The sequence below is a fragment of the Homo sapiens genome, chromosome 2, assembly GCF_000001405.40.
Source record: "Homo sapiens chromosome 2, GRCh38.p14 Primary Assembly".
Taxonomy (NCBI): domain Eukaryota; kingdom Metazoa; phylum Chordata; class Mammalia; order Primates; family Hominidae; genus Homo; species Homo sapiens.
The window spans coordinates 60,613,597-60,633,385 of NC_000002.12; the positions used below are offsets into that span (position 1 = coordinate 60,613,597).

Here is a 19,789-nt window from a genome sequence, read left to right on the forward strand (position 1 = left end):
TCACGAAAGGACAAATACTGTATAATTCCACTTACATGAGGTAACTAGAGTAGTCAAATTCATAGAATCGAAAAGTAGAATAGTGTTTGCCAGGGGCTGGAGAGGAAGGAAAAATGAGCAGTTATTATTTAATGGCTACAGAGTTTCAACTTTGCAAAATGAAAAGAGTTTTCTGGAGATTGATGGTGGGAATGGTTGCACAACAATGTGAGTGTACTTAATGCCATGGAACTGTATACTTCCTGGCTAAGGCCAGGTGCAATGGCTTACGCCTGTAATCCCAGCACTTTGGGAGGCCTAGGCAGGTGGATCACATGAGGTCAGGAGTTCGAGACCAGCCTGGCCAACATGGTGAAACCCCGTCCCTACTAAAAATGCAAAAAAAAAATTATCTGGGCGTGATGGCGTGTACCTGTAATCCCAGCTACTAGGGAGGCTGAGACAGGAGAATCGCTTGAACCCGGGAGGTGGAGGTTGCAGTGAGCTGAGATCGTGCCATTGCACTCCATCCTGGGCAACAACAGTGAGACTCCATCTCAAAAAAAAAATGACTAAGTTGGTAAATTTCATGTTTTGTGTATTTTACTGCAATTAAAAAATATATAGGCAATAATTGAAGGAAATGGAATGGGATGGGTGTACAACTCTGTGAATATTTTAAAATGTGAATAAACTCATTGTTCAGTTTAAATGGGTGTATTGCATAGTATGTGAATTATATCTCAATAAATCCATTTCAAAGAAAACTCAGGGATAGTCAAGTAAAAGAACTGATCAATATTTGTTATGACAGTTACAAAGAGGTTGTTAGTGGCAGTGATAGCAGCGGTTTCAGTGGAGTGATGCAGAAGGAAGCCAGACAATGGAGGGAGGACTCAGCGGAGAGCGGAGGGAGGACTCAGCGGAGAGCAGAGGTCGGGAGAGATGAGCTCACCGTGCATACACACTGCCAGCATGAAAAATTCTTTCAACAAGTTTGCCTGGGGCAGGGAAGCAAGAGGAGCAGTATCTGGAAAGGACATGTGGTCAATGGAGAGTTGTTTCTAAGAAGAGAGAAATTTGAGCATCTAAAAGTATCCATAGAAAGAATGATAGACAAAAGTCAATGTTACAGGAGAGTGAGGGGATAATTGATCATTCCAGGTTCTGAAGGAGGTAGGTAGAGTTCAGGTGTGCATTAATTCATTTGGGCTGCTATAACAAAATGCCAGCTGGGGACAGTGGCTCAAGCCTATAATCCCAGCACTTTGGGAGGCCAAAGCGGGCGGATGGCTTGAGTGCAGGAGTTCGAGACTGGCCTGGGCAATATAGTGAAACCCCGACCCTACAAAAAAATACAAAAATTAGCCCGGTGTGGGGGTGTGTACCTGTAGTCCCAGCTACTCAGGAGGCTGAGGTGGGAGGACCACCTAAGCCCAAGAGGTCAAGGCTGCAGTGAGCTGTGATTGCGCCACTGCACTCCAACCTTGGCAACAAAGTAAGACCCTCTCTCAAAAAGAAAAAAAAAAAAAGCCATGAACTGGGTAGCTTATAAACAACAGAAACTTATTTCTCACAGTTCTGAAAGCTGGGAAGTCCAAACTCAAGGCACCAGTGGATCTAGTGCTGTGTGAGGATCTTCTTTCTGGTTCCTAGATGGCACCTACTTGCTGTGTCCTTGTGTGATGGAAGGGCCAAGGCAGCTCCCTGGGGCCTCTTTTATAAGGGCACTAATCCTGCTCATGGAGTCTCCACCCTCATGACGTAGTCACCTCCCAGAGGCCTGCCTCCTAATATCATCAACTAGGTGATTAAAAGTTTCAACGTATGAATTGCTGGGGGAATACAAACATTCAGTCCTTTGCAAGATGCAAGGGGCAGGAAAAGAGAAGGAAGAAAGCAGGTCAGTTTGGAGCCAGGAAGCAGGAAACTGAAGGAATTCTGATTTGATCCTTGGCAAAGTTGAAGATTGAGAGTGAGAAGGAAGATGGTAACACAAGGGGAAATCTGTGGAAAGCTGAGAAGGCTGGAAACACCACCCATGGAGAATGAGAGAGAGAACTGATAGGAGAAATTAGATATAGTTTGCTGGCAGTGTGGAAGACCTTGGTAAGACTCACAACACGAATCTTACGAACATATAGTACTTCCAGTAGGTGAGGTCCCTTGTAACCCATCTGTGGGAGATCAAACTCTCCAACTTACCTCTTGAGATGCCTTCTTCTCCAGATTTGGCTGCTTCCTTTACTCAAATCTTCACCCAAAGTTGTGCTTCTCTGACGACCATGTCTCAGCTGTCTCCGGGCTGTTCTATATCTCCTACTATCACCCTACTTGAGGCCCTTGTCTGTCTGTCTCTCTCTCTCTGTCTCTCTCTCTCACTTAGTGAAATCCAGACTAACCTTGTGGGAGCATGGTTCCAATCATGTCACCTCTTCACTACCAAAGGATGGCCAGTCCAGTATCACCAACCCCAGGTTCCCAGCTTGCTACAGTAGGCCATCAACCACACTTCAGAGCCTCACCTGCTCATTCTCCTTCCATACACCCCAATCTTTAGTCACATTGACTACTCACTGCCTCCCAGATACACTTTGTGTTTTCCTACCTTGGTGCCTCTGCTCATGTTCTTCACTCCCTAGGTAAGAATGCCCTATCTGCCAGCCTCCTGAGTGAAATCTCTGCCATTCAAGACCAGCCTCTTCTCAAAACAAATGAGATTTCTTGAACTGGACATAACCTCTCCTTTCCATGGATCTTTGCTAATACTTCTCTTATTTCCCTCTCCCCACAGTTCTTTGGTAAACTCACTAGGAGCACAGACAATGCCTTGTACACAGTAGGTCTACAATAAATATTTGCTACATTGAGTTACGTTAAATTAATAACATGGGATTTAGGAAGAGAGTCATGTCTAAGTAGGACTTCAAGGAGGCTACTCTTTAGTCAATGTGGCAATAATTGATGAGCTCTTGAGCTATATTTCTGGCAAAACAATTCCTTCTTTTTTTAAAGGATATATCACATCACATTTTTTCATTGTGGTAAAATACACATAACATAGTAAGTTCATGTGCCACATAACAGTGTTTCAGTCAGGGATAGACCACATATTCAGCCTCGTAAGATTATAATGGAGCTAAAAAAATTCTTATTGCCTAGCAACTCCTGTTATAATGTCATAGCACAATGCATTATTTTATTCACATGTTTGTGGTGATGCCGGTGTAAACAAGCCTACTGTACACAAGTCGTATACAAGTGTAGCACACACAGCCTGTAATCCCAGCACTTTGGGAAGCTGAGGTGGGAGGATCACTTGAGTCCAGGAGTTAGAGACCAGTCTGAGCAACATAGTAAGACCTCGTCTCCAAAAAAAAAAAAAAAAAAAAAAAAAAAAAAAAAATTAGCTGGGCATGATGTTGTGCACCTGTAGTCCTAGCTACTTGGGAGGCTGAGGTGGGAGGATTGCTTGACTGTCAGAGGCAGAGGCTGCAGTGAGCTATGATCGTGCCTCTGCACTCCAGCCTGGGTGACAGAATCAGACCTGTCTCAAAAAAAAAAAAAGTACAGCAGATACAATTATGTACAGTACTTAATACTTGATAATGATAATGATAAAAACTGACTACGTTACTGGTTTGTGTATTTACTATACTATACATTTAATCATTATTTTAGAGTGTACTCCTACTTGTTAAAAAGGCAGATCCTCCAGGCAGGTCCTTCAGGAGGGATTCCAGAAGAAGGCAGTGTTATCATAGGAGATGACAGCTATATGTGTGTTGTTGCCCCTGAAAACCTACCAGAGGGACAAGATGTAGAGGAGGAAGACAGTGATATTGATGATCCTGCCCTTGTGTAGGCCAGGATAATGTGTGTGTGCTTTGTCTTAGTTTTTAACAAAAAATTTTAAAAATAAAAAAATGTTTAAAATAGAGAAATCTTATAGGATAAGGATATAAAGAAAAAATCTTTATATACAGCTGTTACAATGTGTTTGTATTTTAAGCTAAGTGTTATTACAAAACAATCAAAGAGTTTTTTTAAATTAAAAAGTTTGTAAAGTAAAAATGTTACAGTAAGCTAAGGTTAATTTATTGTTGAAGAAATAAATTTTATTTATTTATTTATTTATTTTTATTTTATTTTTTGAGATGGAGTCTTTCTATGTCACCCAGGCTGGAGTGCAGTGGTGCGATCTCAGCTCACTGTAACCTCCATTTCCCAGCTTCAAGCAATTCTCGTGCCTCAGCCTTCCGAGTATCTGGGACCACAGGCACATGCCACCATGCCTGGCTAATTTTTTTTTTTTTTTTTTTTGTAGAGATGAGGTTTCACCATGTTGGCCAGGCTGGTCTCGAACTCCTGACCTCAAGCAATTAGCCTGCCTCAGCCTCCCAAAGTGCTGAGATAACAGGTGTGAGCCACCGTGCCTGGCCGAATGAAGAAAAATTTTAAAATAAATTTGGTGTAGCCAAAGTGTATAGTGTTTACACTTTTTGTCCTAGGCCTTCACTTTCATTCATCACTCACTCAGTGACTTACCCAGACAACTAGTCCTGCAAGCTCCATTCATGGTAAGTGCCCTATAGAGCTGTACTATTTTTTACCTTTTATACCATATTTTGGCTGTACCTTTTCTATGTTTAGATGTGTTTAGATACACAAATACTTACCATTGTGTTACAGTTGCCTGCAGTATTCAGTATGATCACATGCTATACACATTTGGAGCCCAGGAGCAACAGGGAGTACCATGTAGCCTGGGTGTGTAGTAGGCACCACCATCTAAGTCTAAGTACACTCTGTGATGTTCACACAATGACAAAATCACCTAACGACGAATCTCTCAGAATGTGTCTCCATTATTAAGCAATGCATGACTGTATTTATTATTTTAACCCATTTGTAAATGTATAATTCAGTGCCATTAAATATATTCACAAGGCTGTGCACCCATCATCATTATCTATCCCCAAAACTTTCTCATTATCCGCAACATAAACTCTGTACCCACTAAACAGTAACTTCCCTTTCCTCCTTCTCCCCAGCCCCTGGTAACCTCTATTCCACTTTCTGTGTCTGTGAATTTGCCTATTCTAGGAATCTCACATAAGTAGAATCATATAATATCTGTTCTTCTGTGTCTGGTTTATTTTACTGAGCGTGATGTTTTCATGGTCCATCTATGTTGTATCATACATCAAGATTTTATTCACTTTTATGGCCAAATAGTATTCCATTGTGCATACATACCACATTTTGTTTATCCATCTACTGATAGACACAGGTTATTTCCACCTTTTACCTATTGTGAATAACTCTGCTGTGAGCATTGGTGGACAAGTATCTGTTTGAATCCCTGCTTTCAATTCTTTGGCTATATACCTAGGAGTGGAATTGCTGGGTCATATGGTAATTCTATGTTTAACTGTTTGAGGATCTGCCACCTGTTTTCTACAGCGGCTGCACCATTTTACATTCTCACTGGCAACACACAAGGTTCCAGTTTCTCCACATTCTCACCAATACTTGTTATTTTCTTTTTTGAAAAAACATATTATTATAGCCATACTAGTAAGTATGAAATGGTATCTCATTGTGGTTTTGATTTGCATTTCTCTAATGACTAATGATGTTGAGCATCTTTTCATGTGTTTATTGGTCATTTGTATTATCTTCTTTGAAAAACTGTCTATTCAAGTTCTTTTGCCCATTTTTGAATTGAATTGTTTGTCTTCTTTATTGTTGAGAGTGTTTTCTTTTTTAAAAAGCTGTCTAGGGCTGGGCATAGTGGCTGACGCCTGTAACCCCAGCACTTTGGGAGGCCGAGGCAGGTGGATCACCTGAGGTCAGGAGTTCAAGACTAGCCTGGCCAACATGTCTCTACTAAAAACACAAAAAGTAGCCAGGCATGGTGGCAGGCACCTGTAATCCCAGCTACTCAGGAGACTGAAGCAGGAGAATTGCTTGAACCTGGGAGGCGGAGATTGGAGTGAGCCGAGATTGTGCCATTGCACTTCAGCCTGGGTGACAGAAAGCGACTCCTTCTAAAACAAACAAAAAAAAAAGGTGTCTAGGAAATACAAAAATATAAAATATAGAAATAACCTGTGGTCACTGCATGCTTGGTGAGAACCCACGATCCAGTATGGAAATTTTCTGTAGGCTATTGAGTTCCCAAATATATACATCAATTTTCTCTATATTCTTTTCATTTATCGAAGTGTTGGGATTTTCTTAGATCCCAGAGAATCCTCTCATCAAGATAGTTAAACCTGGACCTTCCAGGCAGCTGCCTACGTTCAAATCTGTACATGGCATTAAAACATCACAGCACCGCGGGGCACAGTGGCTCACACCTGTAATCCCAGCACTCTGGGAGGCCGAGGCGGGCGGATCACTTGGGGTCAGGAGTTCGAGATCAGCCTGACCAATATGGCAAAACCCTGTCTCTACTAAAAATACAAAAATTAGCCAGGCGTGGTAGCGGGCTCCTGTAGTCCCAGCTACTCGGGAGACTGAGGTAGGAGAATCACATGAGCCTAGGAGGCGGAGGTAGCAGTGAGCCGAAATCGTGCCACTGCACTCCAGCCTGGGAGACAGAGGGAGACCCCATCTAAAAAAAAAAAAGGCAGTGGGGTGGGGAGGAAATGTGGACACAGACATGCACAGAGGAAGAAGGCCCCGTGAAGATGAAGGCAGAGATTGGAGTGAGGCATCTACAAGCCGAGGAATGCCAAAGATCGCCAGCAACCACCAGAAGCTAGGACAGTCATGGAACAGATTCTCCCCAACAGCCCAGAGAAGAAATCCACAACCCCGCCAACACCCTGATGGTGGATTTCTAGCCTCCAGAACTATGAGACCATAAATTTCTACTGTTTATGCCATCCAGTTTGTGGTACTTTGTTAAGGCAGCCCTGGCAAACCAACATAGTTCTCTTCCTTCAGAAACAGAACTGGAGTGGTATAGTGGAGTTGTTTGGAATGGAAATTAAAAAAAAAAAAATTCCTGGTAGTATGTGGAAGTTGTTTGTGGTAATAGAACAGCTCTGTGTGTTGATTGTAGTGGTGGTTACACAAACCTATACGTGGAACAAAAGTGCACAGAACTATACACACACATTCCAAGGAGTGCAGGTTTAAAAAATGGTGAAAACTGAATAAGGTCTATCTCTAGTTAATAGAAATATGCTAATGTCAACCTCTTGGCTTCGATATTATATTACAGCTATATAAGATGTCACGTTGGACTGGGCAGGGTGGCTCACGCTGGTAATCCTAGCACTTTGGGAGGCAGAGGTGGGCAGATTACCTGAGCCCAGGAGTTCAAGACCAACTAGGGGCACATAGTGAGACCCCGTATGTATAAAAAATTTAAAAATTAGCTGGGCATGGTGACATGTGCCTGTAGCCCCAGCTACTCAGGAGGCTGAGGTGGGAGGATTGCTTGAACCAGGAGGTTAAGGCTGCAGTGAGCTGTGATCACACCATCACCCTCCAGCCTGGGTGACAGAATGAGACTCTGGTTTAAAAAAAATTTTTTTTTAATTAATAAAAAATAAAATGCCACCTTTAGGGGAAGCTGGCTGAAGAGTACACAGAATTATGTTACTGTTTTTGCGAATTCTTGAGTCTGAAATTATTTCAAAACACAAAGTTTTGAAAAAAATTAATAAACAGCAACACCCCCGACCAAAGCTGTCTTCCTGAGTATTTTTGCACTACTTGTATGCAAGCTGCGCACCAACAGAGACACCAGCCCTGAAGTCGGCCAGCTCACAGCTACAGTCAGTGAAATTCTGAAACCGCATAATGCTAAGCACAGTGTGACTATCAGGAACAAGTGCTGCATTTTGGCCAGGCATGGTGGCTCACACCTATAATCCCAGCACTTCGGGAGGCCAAGGCCGTTGGATCACTTGAGGTCAGGAGCTTGAGATCACCCCTGGCCAACATGGTGAAACTCCGTCTCTACTAAAAATACAAATATTAGCCAGGCATGGTGGCATGCATCTACAATCCCAGCTACTCGGGAGGCTGAGGCAGGAGAATTGCTTGAACCCGGGAGGCGGAGGTTGCAGTGAGCCGAGATCGTGCCACCTCACTCCAGCCTGGGCGACAGAACGAGACTCCATCTAAAAAAAAAAAACTGAAAAGAGGACAAGAACAGAAAGGTAAGAAACATTAAGCTGCATTTTTTTTCAGAACACTGTCACAACTTCATCCAGAAGTATATTTAGTAAGAAAATTAGCCTGTGATTACAATTTGTATTTCTAGAAAATCAGCGTTTTCCATATCCTATTAAATACAAGCTAAGCAATTTAAAAAAAAAAAACTGATTTGAAGGGAAGTCAAATTATTGTCATACTTGGAGCACTTTCATGTCTCTAAACCCAGCTCTACAGGTAAGACTTTCTAAGCAACATGTCTTTAATAAAACAAATTGAATGTGGTGCAAAGGCAAGTGAGGGTCAAATTGCAGAGAGAGCCCAATTCCTCTTGGCTCTGTCACCCCACCGCTATCTCCTACCTCCTCTTTGCTTGCTGGCTTTCTCCTTTTCCCACCCCTCTATTTTCCTATTCATCGTGTCATGGAGAAATGCTTGCAAAGGGTCAATTCCACCCAGCATGGTTCCGGTGGAGATATGAATCACCATCAGCAGCAACTACAAGAAGTGGCTAAAAATTATAGGATGTGTTTCTTAAAGGGAGTTACAGAAATAGAATATGTCACAACCATCCTGAAGATTCAGACTTGATCAACACTTGAAGGGAATGAAGCCCCAACTCCTGGGGCTGTGTCTTTGGTCAAAGGTAACCATTATCCTGGGACGATTTACTCCAGTGTCTCCACTGAAAACAGGTTCCTCTCTGTCAGATGGAGAGATGAAATTCTTCCATTTCCAAAGAAGGTAATTATTATGAATACTTTTATCCAACAAAATGATTTTGTGTCTCACCTCCTGGGTCTGGAAGCTGCACGGGCTGCCTCATGGGGTAGATGTTTCAGCGGGGAGAAACCTCTCACCTGTACTCTGTTGCTTTCAGGCTTGGTGCTTTGTTTCTTGGGAGCCTTTAATGAAAACAGGTTCATTGGGATTTTAACATAAATAAATTTATTTTCCTTCTGAATAAATTTATCAAGCAATTCTCCTGCCTCAGCCTCCCAAGTAGCTGGGACTATAGGCACATGCCACCACACCTGGCTAATTTTTGTATTTTTAGTAGAGACAGGGTTTCACCATATTGGTCAGGCTGGTCTTGAACTCCTAACCTCAGGCAATCCACCCACCTCAGCCTCCCAAACTGCTGGGATTTCAGGTGTGAGCCACTGCACCTGGCTAGCATTTATTCTTAAAGGGATAAGAGAGAAACTTTTGAGACTTTCTGGAAAGGCTTAAGTTCAGTTCCGCCATTGTACCTTGGCTTCTCTTTGAGAAGGGAGACTTAAAGCAGCCACAACCTGATGGCTTCTTAGGTGTAGGTGCCAGGATTCTCTTTGGCTTATGTGCCTTTGGGTATTGCAATTTATCTTCACATCCCCTGACATAGCTGTCTCATTAGTTGGAACATAGAAGTAACACTCTTTCTTTGTAGGCAGATCTGGCCCAGTCTCAAACTTGGTAGTAGCTTTTGTATCCTGCATGAGGACATTGGTGATAAGAAAAGATGCAATTCAGAATGTCATTCGTGCACATTGTAGTTGAAGACAGCTCCAAGTGTCTTGGGTCAACTGTACTCTCTGTGCCTCTCTTTAGTTTTACAGAAGTTGAACTCTCTGCGTTGGGTTCTCTTTCCCTTTGTTATTTAAGTTACATTTGATTCTTCCTTCCATCTTCATTTTACAACAGCTCCTTCCCTTGAGTAATCCACCTCACACTTTCTCTTCACTGCATCTTACGCCTCCATCTAAGGAAAGCAGGAACTATGACATGCAGCACTGTTGGTTGTGTTCTGAAAGGACCCAGTCCTGGAATAGAAATGAGACCTCTCTTATGCTTGATGTTAGAAAGTCATTGTCCCTCGGGCTTTCACCAAGGACCCATGGAACAAGTGCAGATGACTCTGGCCAGGGCCCCTTCTGTGATACCTTCCATTCTGGTCTGGAAGTCAAAACAACTCAGGAGATTATAAAGACAGCCCAAAATTGGCTTCTCTGGGTTCAAAGTAAAAATTGAAAAAAGCCCAAATTAAGCAAAACAGTTCTTGCTTTTGGTAGACAGAAGCAGAAAACTTGGATTTGTGCCTCATTCAAGGAAACTGGCACTCACCTGGCTGAGTCAAATACTAAACATGATCCATCTGCCCACTCCCCAGTCTCCTAGTAGCACTTGTACTTATTCAATAGAAGAAGAAATTTCAAGGCTTAATTAGTGCAGATGAAGAAGTGTTAACAGTGGTTAATGTACCCAACCAACAGTAAAAATTTTATTAAACATACTTCACACACATGCAGTTTCTATTACCTACTATAGTTAAGACTACTACCTAGCATTAGTAAGTGTGGGACTGCAGAGGTAGTTCAATAACAGATATTACCTTTATTCTGTTTTTAGTCAAAGCTGATGATATTCATTCATTCAACAAATATGCATTGAGTGCCTACCAGGTGCTAGGTACTGTGTTACATACTGAGAATAAGCACTGAAAAGATAGATCCCTGCTGTCCTGGAGTGATACGTGCTGTTGACCATGAAAAGTGGTTAGTACAAGCAAGATAAAAAAAGGAAAAGGTAAATTTTCAAAAGAAAAACGCTCACTGCCTTTCAATTTTAAAATAGCCTTCTGAGACCATGGGGTCCAGTGGTCATCCATTCTGTGCAAACAACTGTAACCTCACTCATCTTTTTGAAACACTCTTTTTCACTGGTCAGTTGAAGGTCAGGCTTGAAGAGCTTTTTTGGTTTTTTATTTTTCTGGTTGCCTCATTCTGTCTTTTAAACCATGACAGAAAAGGATTAATAGCCAGGAGAGCAGAGAGCCTGACAACTCAATTCCATCACCCATGAGTCCTTACTGAGCTGCCACCTGGACAGAGCCCAGTGCTAGATGCTCTTGCTAATAATATGTGGCTGTGTCTTCTCCCTGCAGGACCTTGGCACACACAAGACTTGACAGGAAACTGCTCCAGAGCCCATGGTGGGTGTGGGATTAGGGCCTGAGATGAGACTTCACGTGTGAATCTTTGTGGGGAGCAAGGAAAAAAGAGGCAAATATGAGTCTAAGGTTAATTACTTTCCAGAGAGTTCACACTTTGAGCAACATTGTGGAGAAGGGCTGGCTGGTGACCATGTGAAGGTTAATGGCACTATTATATACTCAAAGAGTCTATATTGTTCTATGACAATTAACAGTAAAGGGATGGACTTCTTTTTAATAATAACATAATTGATCATAACCACTCTTCTGGTGCACAGAGACAGGGCAGTAAAAACGGGGGCATTATTAGAAGACACAAACACACACACACACACACACACACACCCCAAGCACTTTGAAAGGAGACTCACTCCACTATCTTCAGCCTCTCAGATGATCATGGCATCAGTTAAAATTGGGAGAGCTTAATTATTCTTCCGGTTATTGGGTGATATGGTTTGGCTCTGTGTCCCCACCCAAATCTCATGTTAAATTGTAATTCCCAATGTTGTGGGAGGGACCTGCTGGGAGGTGATTTGATAATGGGAGTGGATTTCCCCTTTGCTGTTCTCATGATAGTGAGTGAGCTCTCATGAGATCTGGTTATTTGAAAATGTGTCACACTGTCCCATTTGCTCCCTCTGTCCTGCTGCCATGTGAAGACATCCTTGCTTCCCCTTCACCTTCCACCATGATTGTAAATTTCCCGAGGCCTCCCCAGCCATGCTGCCTGTACAGCCCGTAGAACTGTGAGTCAATTAAACCTCTTTTCTTTATAAACTACCCAGTCTCGGGTAGTTCCTTATAGCAATGTGAGAATGGACTAATGCATTGGGTGAAACTCATTTGAAGATACCAAAATGCTAAAGCTTAGCATGGAGAGAGTTTTAAGGTTTCCTTAGAGTGAGTTTTTTTTTTTTTTTTTTTTTTTTTGAGGTGGAGTCTTGCTCTGTTGCCCAGACTAGAGTGCAGTGGCACAATCTTGGCTCACAGTAAGCTCCGCCTCCCGGGTTCATGCCATTCTCCTGCCTCAGCCTCCCGAGTAGATGGGACTACAGGCGACTGCCACCACACCCAGCTAATTTTTTTTTGTATTTTTAGTAGAGGAGGGGTTTCACCATATTAGCCAGGATGGTTTCAATCTCCTGACCTCGTGATCCGCCCGCCTCGGTCTCTCAAAGTGCTGGGATTACAGGCGTGAGCCACTGCGCCCAGCCTTAGAGTGAGACTTTTAAGGCAACGTATATTTCTTAATTGGACCCATTGGGAAAAGGTCAACCAGGCACACTTGAAAACTGTGTCTGTCTTACTCTGTCCCTAGCATGCAGCATGTGCTCTGTGAGTACCTGCTAAATGAAGACTCTTCAAATCCCAGAAAGGTGGGCAAGGCTGCTTCTCCCTCACCCTGGGGGCAAGACAAGAGCAGAGACAGGAAACTGACTATTGGTTGAAGCCTCAGTTTTCTTTCCTTTAAAATGAGGCTATTACCCCAGTTTTGAGAATTACAAGGGACAATAACTGAAAATTTGTTTAATTATTAAAGGGATTATAGATGTAAGAAATTATTTTTACTAGTTTAAACACCATTTAAATGTTTCACCTTATTAAGGGTAAGAGTACAATGCTTTAAAAGGAGATGTTCTCAGTCTGGAATATTTGTATTATACAAGTGACTCTTAGTTCACCCAGGTCGTGTAAATGGGGTTTATGGAGAAAAGTGCAGAAGAGTTTTCAGTGTCACTATTGATTTCAGTTTGCCCAGGACTAAGAAGTTTCCCTGAGTGTTTTCAGTGCTAAAGCCAGAACAGACATGGAAAAACCAGGATGAGTTGTTCACCTGTTCCTGTTCAACTCTCTTAATTCCATTAGCTCCAAGTTTAGTTTTCTTATTTCTTACAGAGTGTTAATAAACCTATGAAAATAAAGACAATATCCTTGAGTAACGTTGGATATTGAATGAGTGGCAGAAAATCTGTCCCTGTGGTCCTTGGTGAGACATTAGGGGTACCAAGGGAGCAGAAGAAAAAAAATATTCTCTTTCATTCTGTTTCTCCTCCCAGCCTCCTGTTACCCATCTTTCAGAAGACCTGTGAGTTGAACAATGCACACTCAACACTGGCCAACTGAAATCAGTCACTGTGTGACTCCCAGGCTTCTCCAACCACAGATATGCAAGAATAATGTTTTCAAAGTGTCAGTGGAGAGCATAAGTTCTACTGAGCACAAACTTGGGAGGCAAGTAATCAAGGCATTTACCTGATGAATGAAGAGGGGGAAGAAGGCATTATCATTTCAAATACATCTAGCACATTCCCATTAAGCCACGGAACTTGCAGTTATTAATCACCAAAATAAATGCACCTTGCCCTTAGGCAAGTGCAGCCTTGCACAAGAGAAACCACCAATACAGCGCTTTTTTTCATGAAATTATCAAAAATGAAATGAATTTGAAAGAATATCCTAGGTGAATTAGACATTCAACTACTTAACAAGAAGAGGTTTTGCTGGGACCCTCGTTTATTATTTTGAGAAGTTAAGTCAGTTCCTGCCAATAATTCAGTAGCATTTACGTCTCCATTATTTCACAGGCAGGAGATTCCATGGCTAATGGCCAGTCCCTATTGTATCTTGAGTTTGGCATTGGAAATGGTTATGAGAGCTTCCCACTGAGCCCAGAGTCAAGTTAGAGATCTCCTGTGCAGAAAGGAGTGGGCATTCCATTATTCTGCAATATAGCAGAGTAAAATAAGTAGGATTTCATTTAGGCTGTGTGTTTTTTGTTTTTTGTTTTTTAGATTAGGTTAAATGGCCAAGATGCTAAAAGCATCCTATCTTGTACAAATTGAGTGCCTCTGTCTGCTGATTCTGACCATGCTGGCTGCATATTCTGAAAAGCTTTTGATAAGCATCTTAAGTGTAGACAGACATCTCATGTGTCTTGCTAAGCACAGGCACGTTTTCATATCGAAAAGGTGCTGCACCTTTTGAAAGTCACCCTCTTCCTTCAGGGGTACTTTATAAGCAATACAGAGAGTTTTAAACTAAACTCTAAATTCGAGATTCAAACATTAGTCCCCAGTTTTAGGGGAAAAAATTGTTTAGAGGACAAGCCAGGACATCAATATTTCAAAGTGTACCCCCCAGAAAGATACCTGTTCTCAAAACAGGGAAAGCTCATTTCACAGTTTAAAGAAAACAAAGAAAAGAAAAGGCACAAAATGAAAAAAGAAAAAGTAGTCTGGGTCTACTGTCTGTCCATCCACCCATCTGCATTCTGGCCTTGCCCTGCCTGGACTGTCCTCCTCTCCCTTCAAGGCTGGAGGGAAGGTCCCTCTGGCAAGAGAATATCCTCTTCCACCCACTGGCTGATGCTCAAAATTCTACTATTAGGACATAATCACTTTAGTTTCAGCTTTGATCCCTGTTAAAATGCAAATACCTCTGGGTGGGGTAATACTTAAACTGTTATCAGCCCTTTACAGTCCACCGAGGAGGAAGGAGCTGGGCAAATTTCACTAAGCTTTGGAGGGCAGATCTGGAGGCCGAAGAGCCACAGAGGGTGACGTGTGGGCACCCAAGGAAGATCCAAGGGCCAGAAAACAAACAGCTTCTCCCATGTGCCAAAACATGGCCAGACCTGAAAACAGGAATCTTATTTTGTCTGAATGGGACAGCATACATTTATGTAGAAATCCGTCCACCTAAGAATCTAAGAAAAGCATTAGCTGAACAATGGGACAAGCTATCATTCTACTGAAAGATAATTCAAATGTTGGGGCTTGTTCTGCAATAAAATATAATGGCTAATCCTCAGGGTTCAGCCTTTCTGTTCTAACTTTAACTAAGGAAAAAAGTTTAGCCTTGTTAAAGCTATTATCTGTTCCTAAATTGCATAGTATATAAAATGTAAATGTGATCACACCACTCTTAAATTATTATAACAATACGCCATTCTGTTTTCTTCCCCTTGACATTTACAAAATTCATTTGGAAGAGTGGGATCTACCTCACAGAGATTAGTGATAAATCATGTATTTTTAATGAATATCAATAGGAGAAACCCCATGACATAGCCCACCATCTAATTTGATTAAACTGTGCTTAAGGCAACACTACCTCTCTGGCTAGGGAATAGCTCCATAATGACTTTGTGAGCATTATTGCAGGCTGTTTTAATGATTTAATGAACTGCCTCTATATTTAGTTCAATAGCCTTAAAATGATTAGTGTTTAAGAAAAATTAGCTCACTTTGATTTGATTCTATTTGATGGTAAGTTTAAATAACCTAACCCTTCAAAACACAGTGGAAAAAAAAATCCTACAATCCCAGCCAGCTAACTGCTAGAAAACATTATGACCATCATTAATAACCATTCATTTATGTTTAGCTACAGTATCCAGCCTGACATGCTCATCCGAGGAGCTGGGCTGTAGCAACAAGGGCTAATGCTGCATTTCATCTTCCCTTTCTACGACTAGGAAGGGGAGGGAGAGGAGAGGAGATGGGAGAAGCAAGACAGAGCCTTCGATTTCATATGTTGGGCTATAAGGAATTTTCTCTAGTTCAGGTCTAAAGTGGGCATCTGTCTACATTTGGGAGAAGCTCTAGGTTTCTAGAAGAGAAGGAGGGGAAAATTGGTGTGAGGTTTTGAGCCAACCTCTCCTGCTGTGATGCAGGCAGTCAGCATGGTTAGGTTTGAGCAGTGTGGTCAGGAAGCTCCCTGGGACACCCGGATGAGAGTCAGGGAGGCTTTCTGCAAAGAAGACTGAGGCAGATGGCTTTTCACCAGGGAAAGTGATCTGAGAGTTGGTGTGATACTGCAGGGACCAAAGCCAGCTCCTTACTCCAAAAGAAAGAAGGTCACAGCACACACACACAGAAGTACATTCTGCAATATCCTCGTGGGTGACCGCTGCTTGTGCACACCCCAAAACATGGAAAAGAATGTGCACTGGGGACCCCAGTACTGCGCTTCATCTGAAACCATCTAGGCCAGTCATCTTCTGTGCAGACCACAATGTTACGAAACCATTATCAGAAGAAAGAGACAAACTGGGAGGTCTGTTTAACTTTGAACTTTAGAATAATAATAGGTAACATTTATTAAGCACTTACCAAATGCCAGGCACTGTTTACTCTTTATGTAAACCCAAGAGGTAGATACAATGATTATCCCCATTTTCAGCAAAGAAGCCAGAGGTCAGAAAGACTAAGAAGCTTGCCTAAGGGCACACAGCAGAGTGTAGGGAGGGGACAGGCTTGCACCCAAGTCTGCTTGACTTCCGATTCTTACCTACTCCATCCTGTTGTCTTTCATTTCGCCATCTGTGCCATGTGACGTGCTGAGTGTATTCTGAGTTAGAAACAGGGAAAGACTTAAAGAAAATGGATGTCAGAGGAAGGTGGGTGAGTATCCAATGAATAATTCACTAAATGAGGCCACTCACCCCAGCCTTCATTACTCAGAGCTGTCGCTGTGGATTCTTGGGCCTTGGGGGCAAGAATGCAATCCACTAACCATTACTACTCCTTGTCTTTGGGAAGGGAGAGGAAATATTTCTAGATGAGCCATTGTCATCTAATGAAAAAGCCCTGTATTTCTTGGCATGTGTTGGGTACTCCCAAGACACCTTCCTCTTTTCTCTCTCTCTCTGTTAATGTCCACCCCTCCTCCACTCTCCTAACCTGCCTCTTCCCACACTCTGATGTGTGCACACAGATCCACACAATGTGCTCACACATGCGACACAGGTGCACATGCACACATACACAGGCATACTGTTCAGTCCTATTTCATGGACATTTACTGAGTTCATAGTGTGGGGCAAGTACTATGCTGATATGGTTTGGCTCTGTGTCCCCACCCAAATCTCATCTTGAATTGTACTCCCATAATTCCCACATGTTGTGGGAGGGATTTGGTGGGAGATAATTGAATCATGGGGGCAGTTTCCCCCATACTATTCTCGTGGTGTGAATTAGTCTCGTGAGATCTGATGGTTTTACCAGGGGTTTCCACTTTTGCATCTTCCTCATTCTCTCTTTGCCTGCTGCCATCCATGTAAGATGGAACTTTCTCCTCCTTGCCTTCCATCATGATTATGAGGCTTCCCTAGCCGTGTGGAACTGTGAGTCCAATTAAACCTCTTTCTTTTGTAAATTGCCCAGTCTCGGGCAATTGTGTCTTTGTCAGCAGCGTGAAAACGGACTAATACATATGCCAACGTGGGAAACAGAGATGAATGAAAAAGGGTCTCTGTCCATGGCTCTGTACTTGAAGGAGGGCTCAGTCTCCTAAGGGGGAGGGAGTGGTTCAAAAATCATGCCCACCATCTCATGGCCATAACTCCCTCTTGGTCTAATCCCAGACAACCCAACACTTTTTCAGAGTCCTTTTTGCAAAGGTGTCAACCTCCTTTGTTTTGTTGTTTGTTTGTTTCTTTTTGTGACAGGGTCTCACTCTGTTGCCCAGGCTGGAGTGCAGTGGTGTGATCTTGGTTTACTGGAACCTCTGCCTCTCAAGCTCAAGGGATCCTGCCACCTCAGCCTCCTGAGTAGCTGTGACTACAGGGGCCACCACCATGCCCGGCTAATTATTTTTTTGTATTCTTTTGTAGCGATGGGGTTTCGCCTTGTTGCCCAGGCTGGAACCTCCCTTCTGATGTCACCTTCCCCAGTGCCTCAGAGCCACTCTTTGTCTTTCCCACCCTTACTTTAGACTTTTGTCTTCCTTCCCCATCCCCTCACCAAAAACAAAAGAAAACAAAACAAAACAAAACAAAATCCTGAACCGAACCCACAACTCATTTTCATGAGGCCAATTATTCTGACACACTCATCCTAGACTTACACATAAATAACTGAGAATAACTTTAGTAGCTTTTCTCCTCCCAGAGAGGCTATGAGCAACTATTTTATACTATTTAAGAGAACCAAGCCATTTGTGTGGACATTTCCTGATTGTGGAGCCGTGAATTCTTGTGCAGGGCAGGAAATGTAAATGAATGAAGTAAGCTACATGAGAACTGACCAACTAGACCAACAAGTTCCATCTAGAAGGGGTAGCACCACTCAGCGACAGCCCATGGCTGCCAATCAGTGCTCCCAGAGCACCCCAGCTTTCAAGGAAAATACAGCATTCTGATTTTTATTCAAAATATTCTAATTTTTTTAAGTTGGCTCAGTAAAAAATAAAATAAAATGCCATACAGGCTAAACAAATACAGTCCACAGCTGCCAGTTTGCAACCTCTGCCCCACCATTACACAAGTGGCATTGACAGACCAGCAATGTGATGGCTTATAGAGCAGGAGTCTCCAGTGCCAAGGTCACGGCTCCCCATGGGAGGGATGCTCTGCACAGGCTTGCTTTCTTATTTTGGAACAGGGTCCCCCTCTGTTATCCAGGCTGGAGTGCAACAGTGTGATCACCGCTCACTGCAGCCTTGTCAACTTCCTGGACTCAAGTGATCCTCCTGCCTCAGCCTCACGAGTAGCTGGGACTATAGGCATGTGCCACCATGCCTGGCTAATTGTTTTTTGTATTGTTTTGTTTTGTTTTTGAGATGGGGTCTCGCTCTGTCGCCCAGTCTGGAGTGCAGTGGTATAATCTCGGCTCACTGCAACCTCCACCTCCTGGGTTCAAGGAATTCTCCTCCCTCAGTCTACCAAGTAGCTGGGATTACAGGCTCCTGCCACCACACCCAGCTAATTTTTGTATTTTTAGTAGAGACAGGGTTTCACCATGCTAGCCAGGCTGGTCTCAAACTCCTGACCTCAGGTGATCCGCTCACCTCGGTCTCCTAAAGTGCTGGGTCTACAGGCGTGAGCCACTGCACCCAGCCGTATTTATTATTTATAAAGACGGGGTCTCACCCTGTTGCCCAGGCTGGTCTCCAACTCCTGGACTCAAGCAATCCTCCAGCCTCAGCCTCCCAACATGCTGGAATTGCAGGTGTAAGCCACTGGGCCCGACTGCACAGGCTTTCAAGAACGGCAGCCCATGCCTGTAGTCCTAGCACTTTGGGAGGCCAAGGCAGGTGGATCTCTTGAAGCCACGAGTTCAAGACCAGCCTGACCAACATGGTAAAACCCCATCTCTACTAAAAATACAAAAGTTAGCCGGGTATGGGGGCCACATGCCTGTAGTCCCAGCTACTCTGGAGGCTAAGGCATGAGATCACTTGAACCCAGGAGGCAGAGGTTGCTGCAGTGAGCCACGATCACACCACTGCACTCTAGGGGCAACAGAGCATGACTCTGTCTCAAAAAAAAATAAAAATTAAAAATAAAGAACAGTGCTAAAATAAGCACACAGCAACACATGTGTAAGCATATATCATGTGCGTGCATGCACGTATTTGGGTGTGGAAAGGGGTAGGTTGGGGGAGTGGATGAAGGGTGGTCATTAACAGAGAGACAGAGAGAAGAGGCTGACATGTGCCTCTTGAGGTGAACCTAGAAGACCCTAGATGTTGCTGCTAATAACTTTCCTGTAAGCCACCCAAATCTCCAAATATGTAATTCTTGATGGAAAGAAAAAAAGAAGCTCCTGGCTATGCATATGCAATATCCTCCAATTGGAATTAAAAATTACTTGACCTACATTTAGATCTTCTGACTCTGTTTTTGAGCACTGTGTTCTTGAAACAGCTGCTGCT

General features: G+C 43.0%; 1 annotated feature.

The window, feature by feature from the left end:
- Nucleotides 14,325–16,157: an enhancer, noted in NCBI's record as "VISTA enhancer hs1142". NCBI's record gives its function as "enhancer in: hindbrain (rhombencephalon)[3/3]" and the evidence as "EXISTENCE:transgenic organism evidence [ECO:0001131][PMID:17130149]".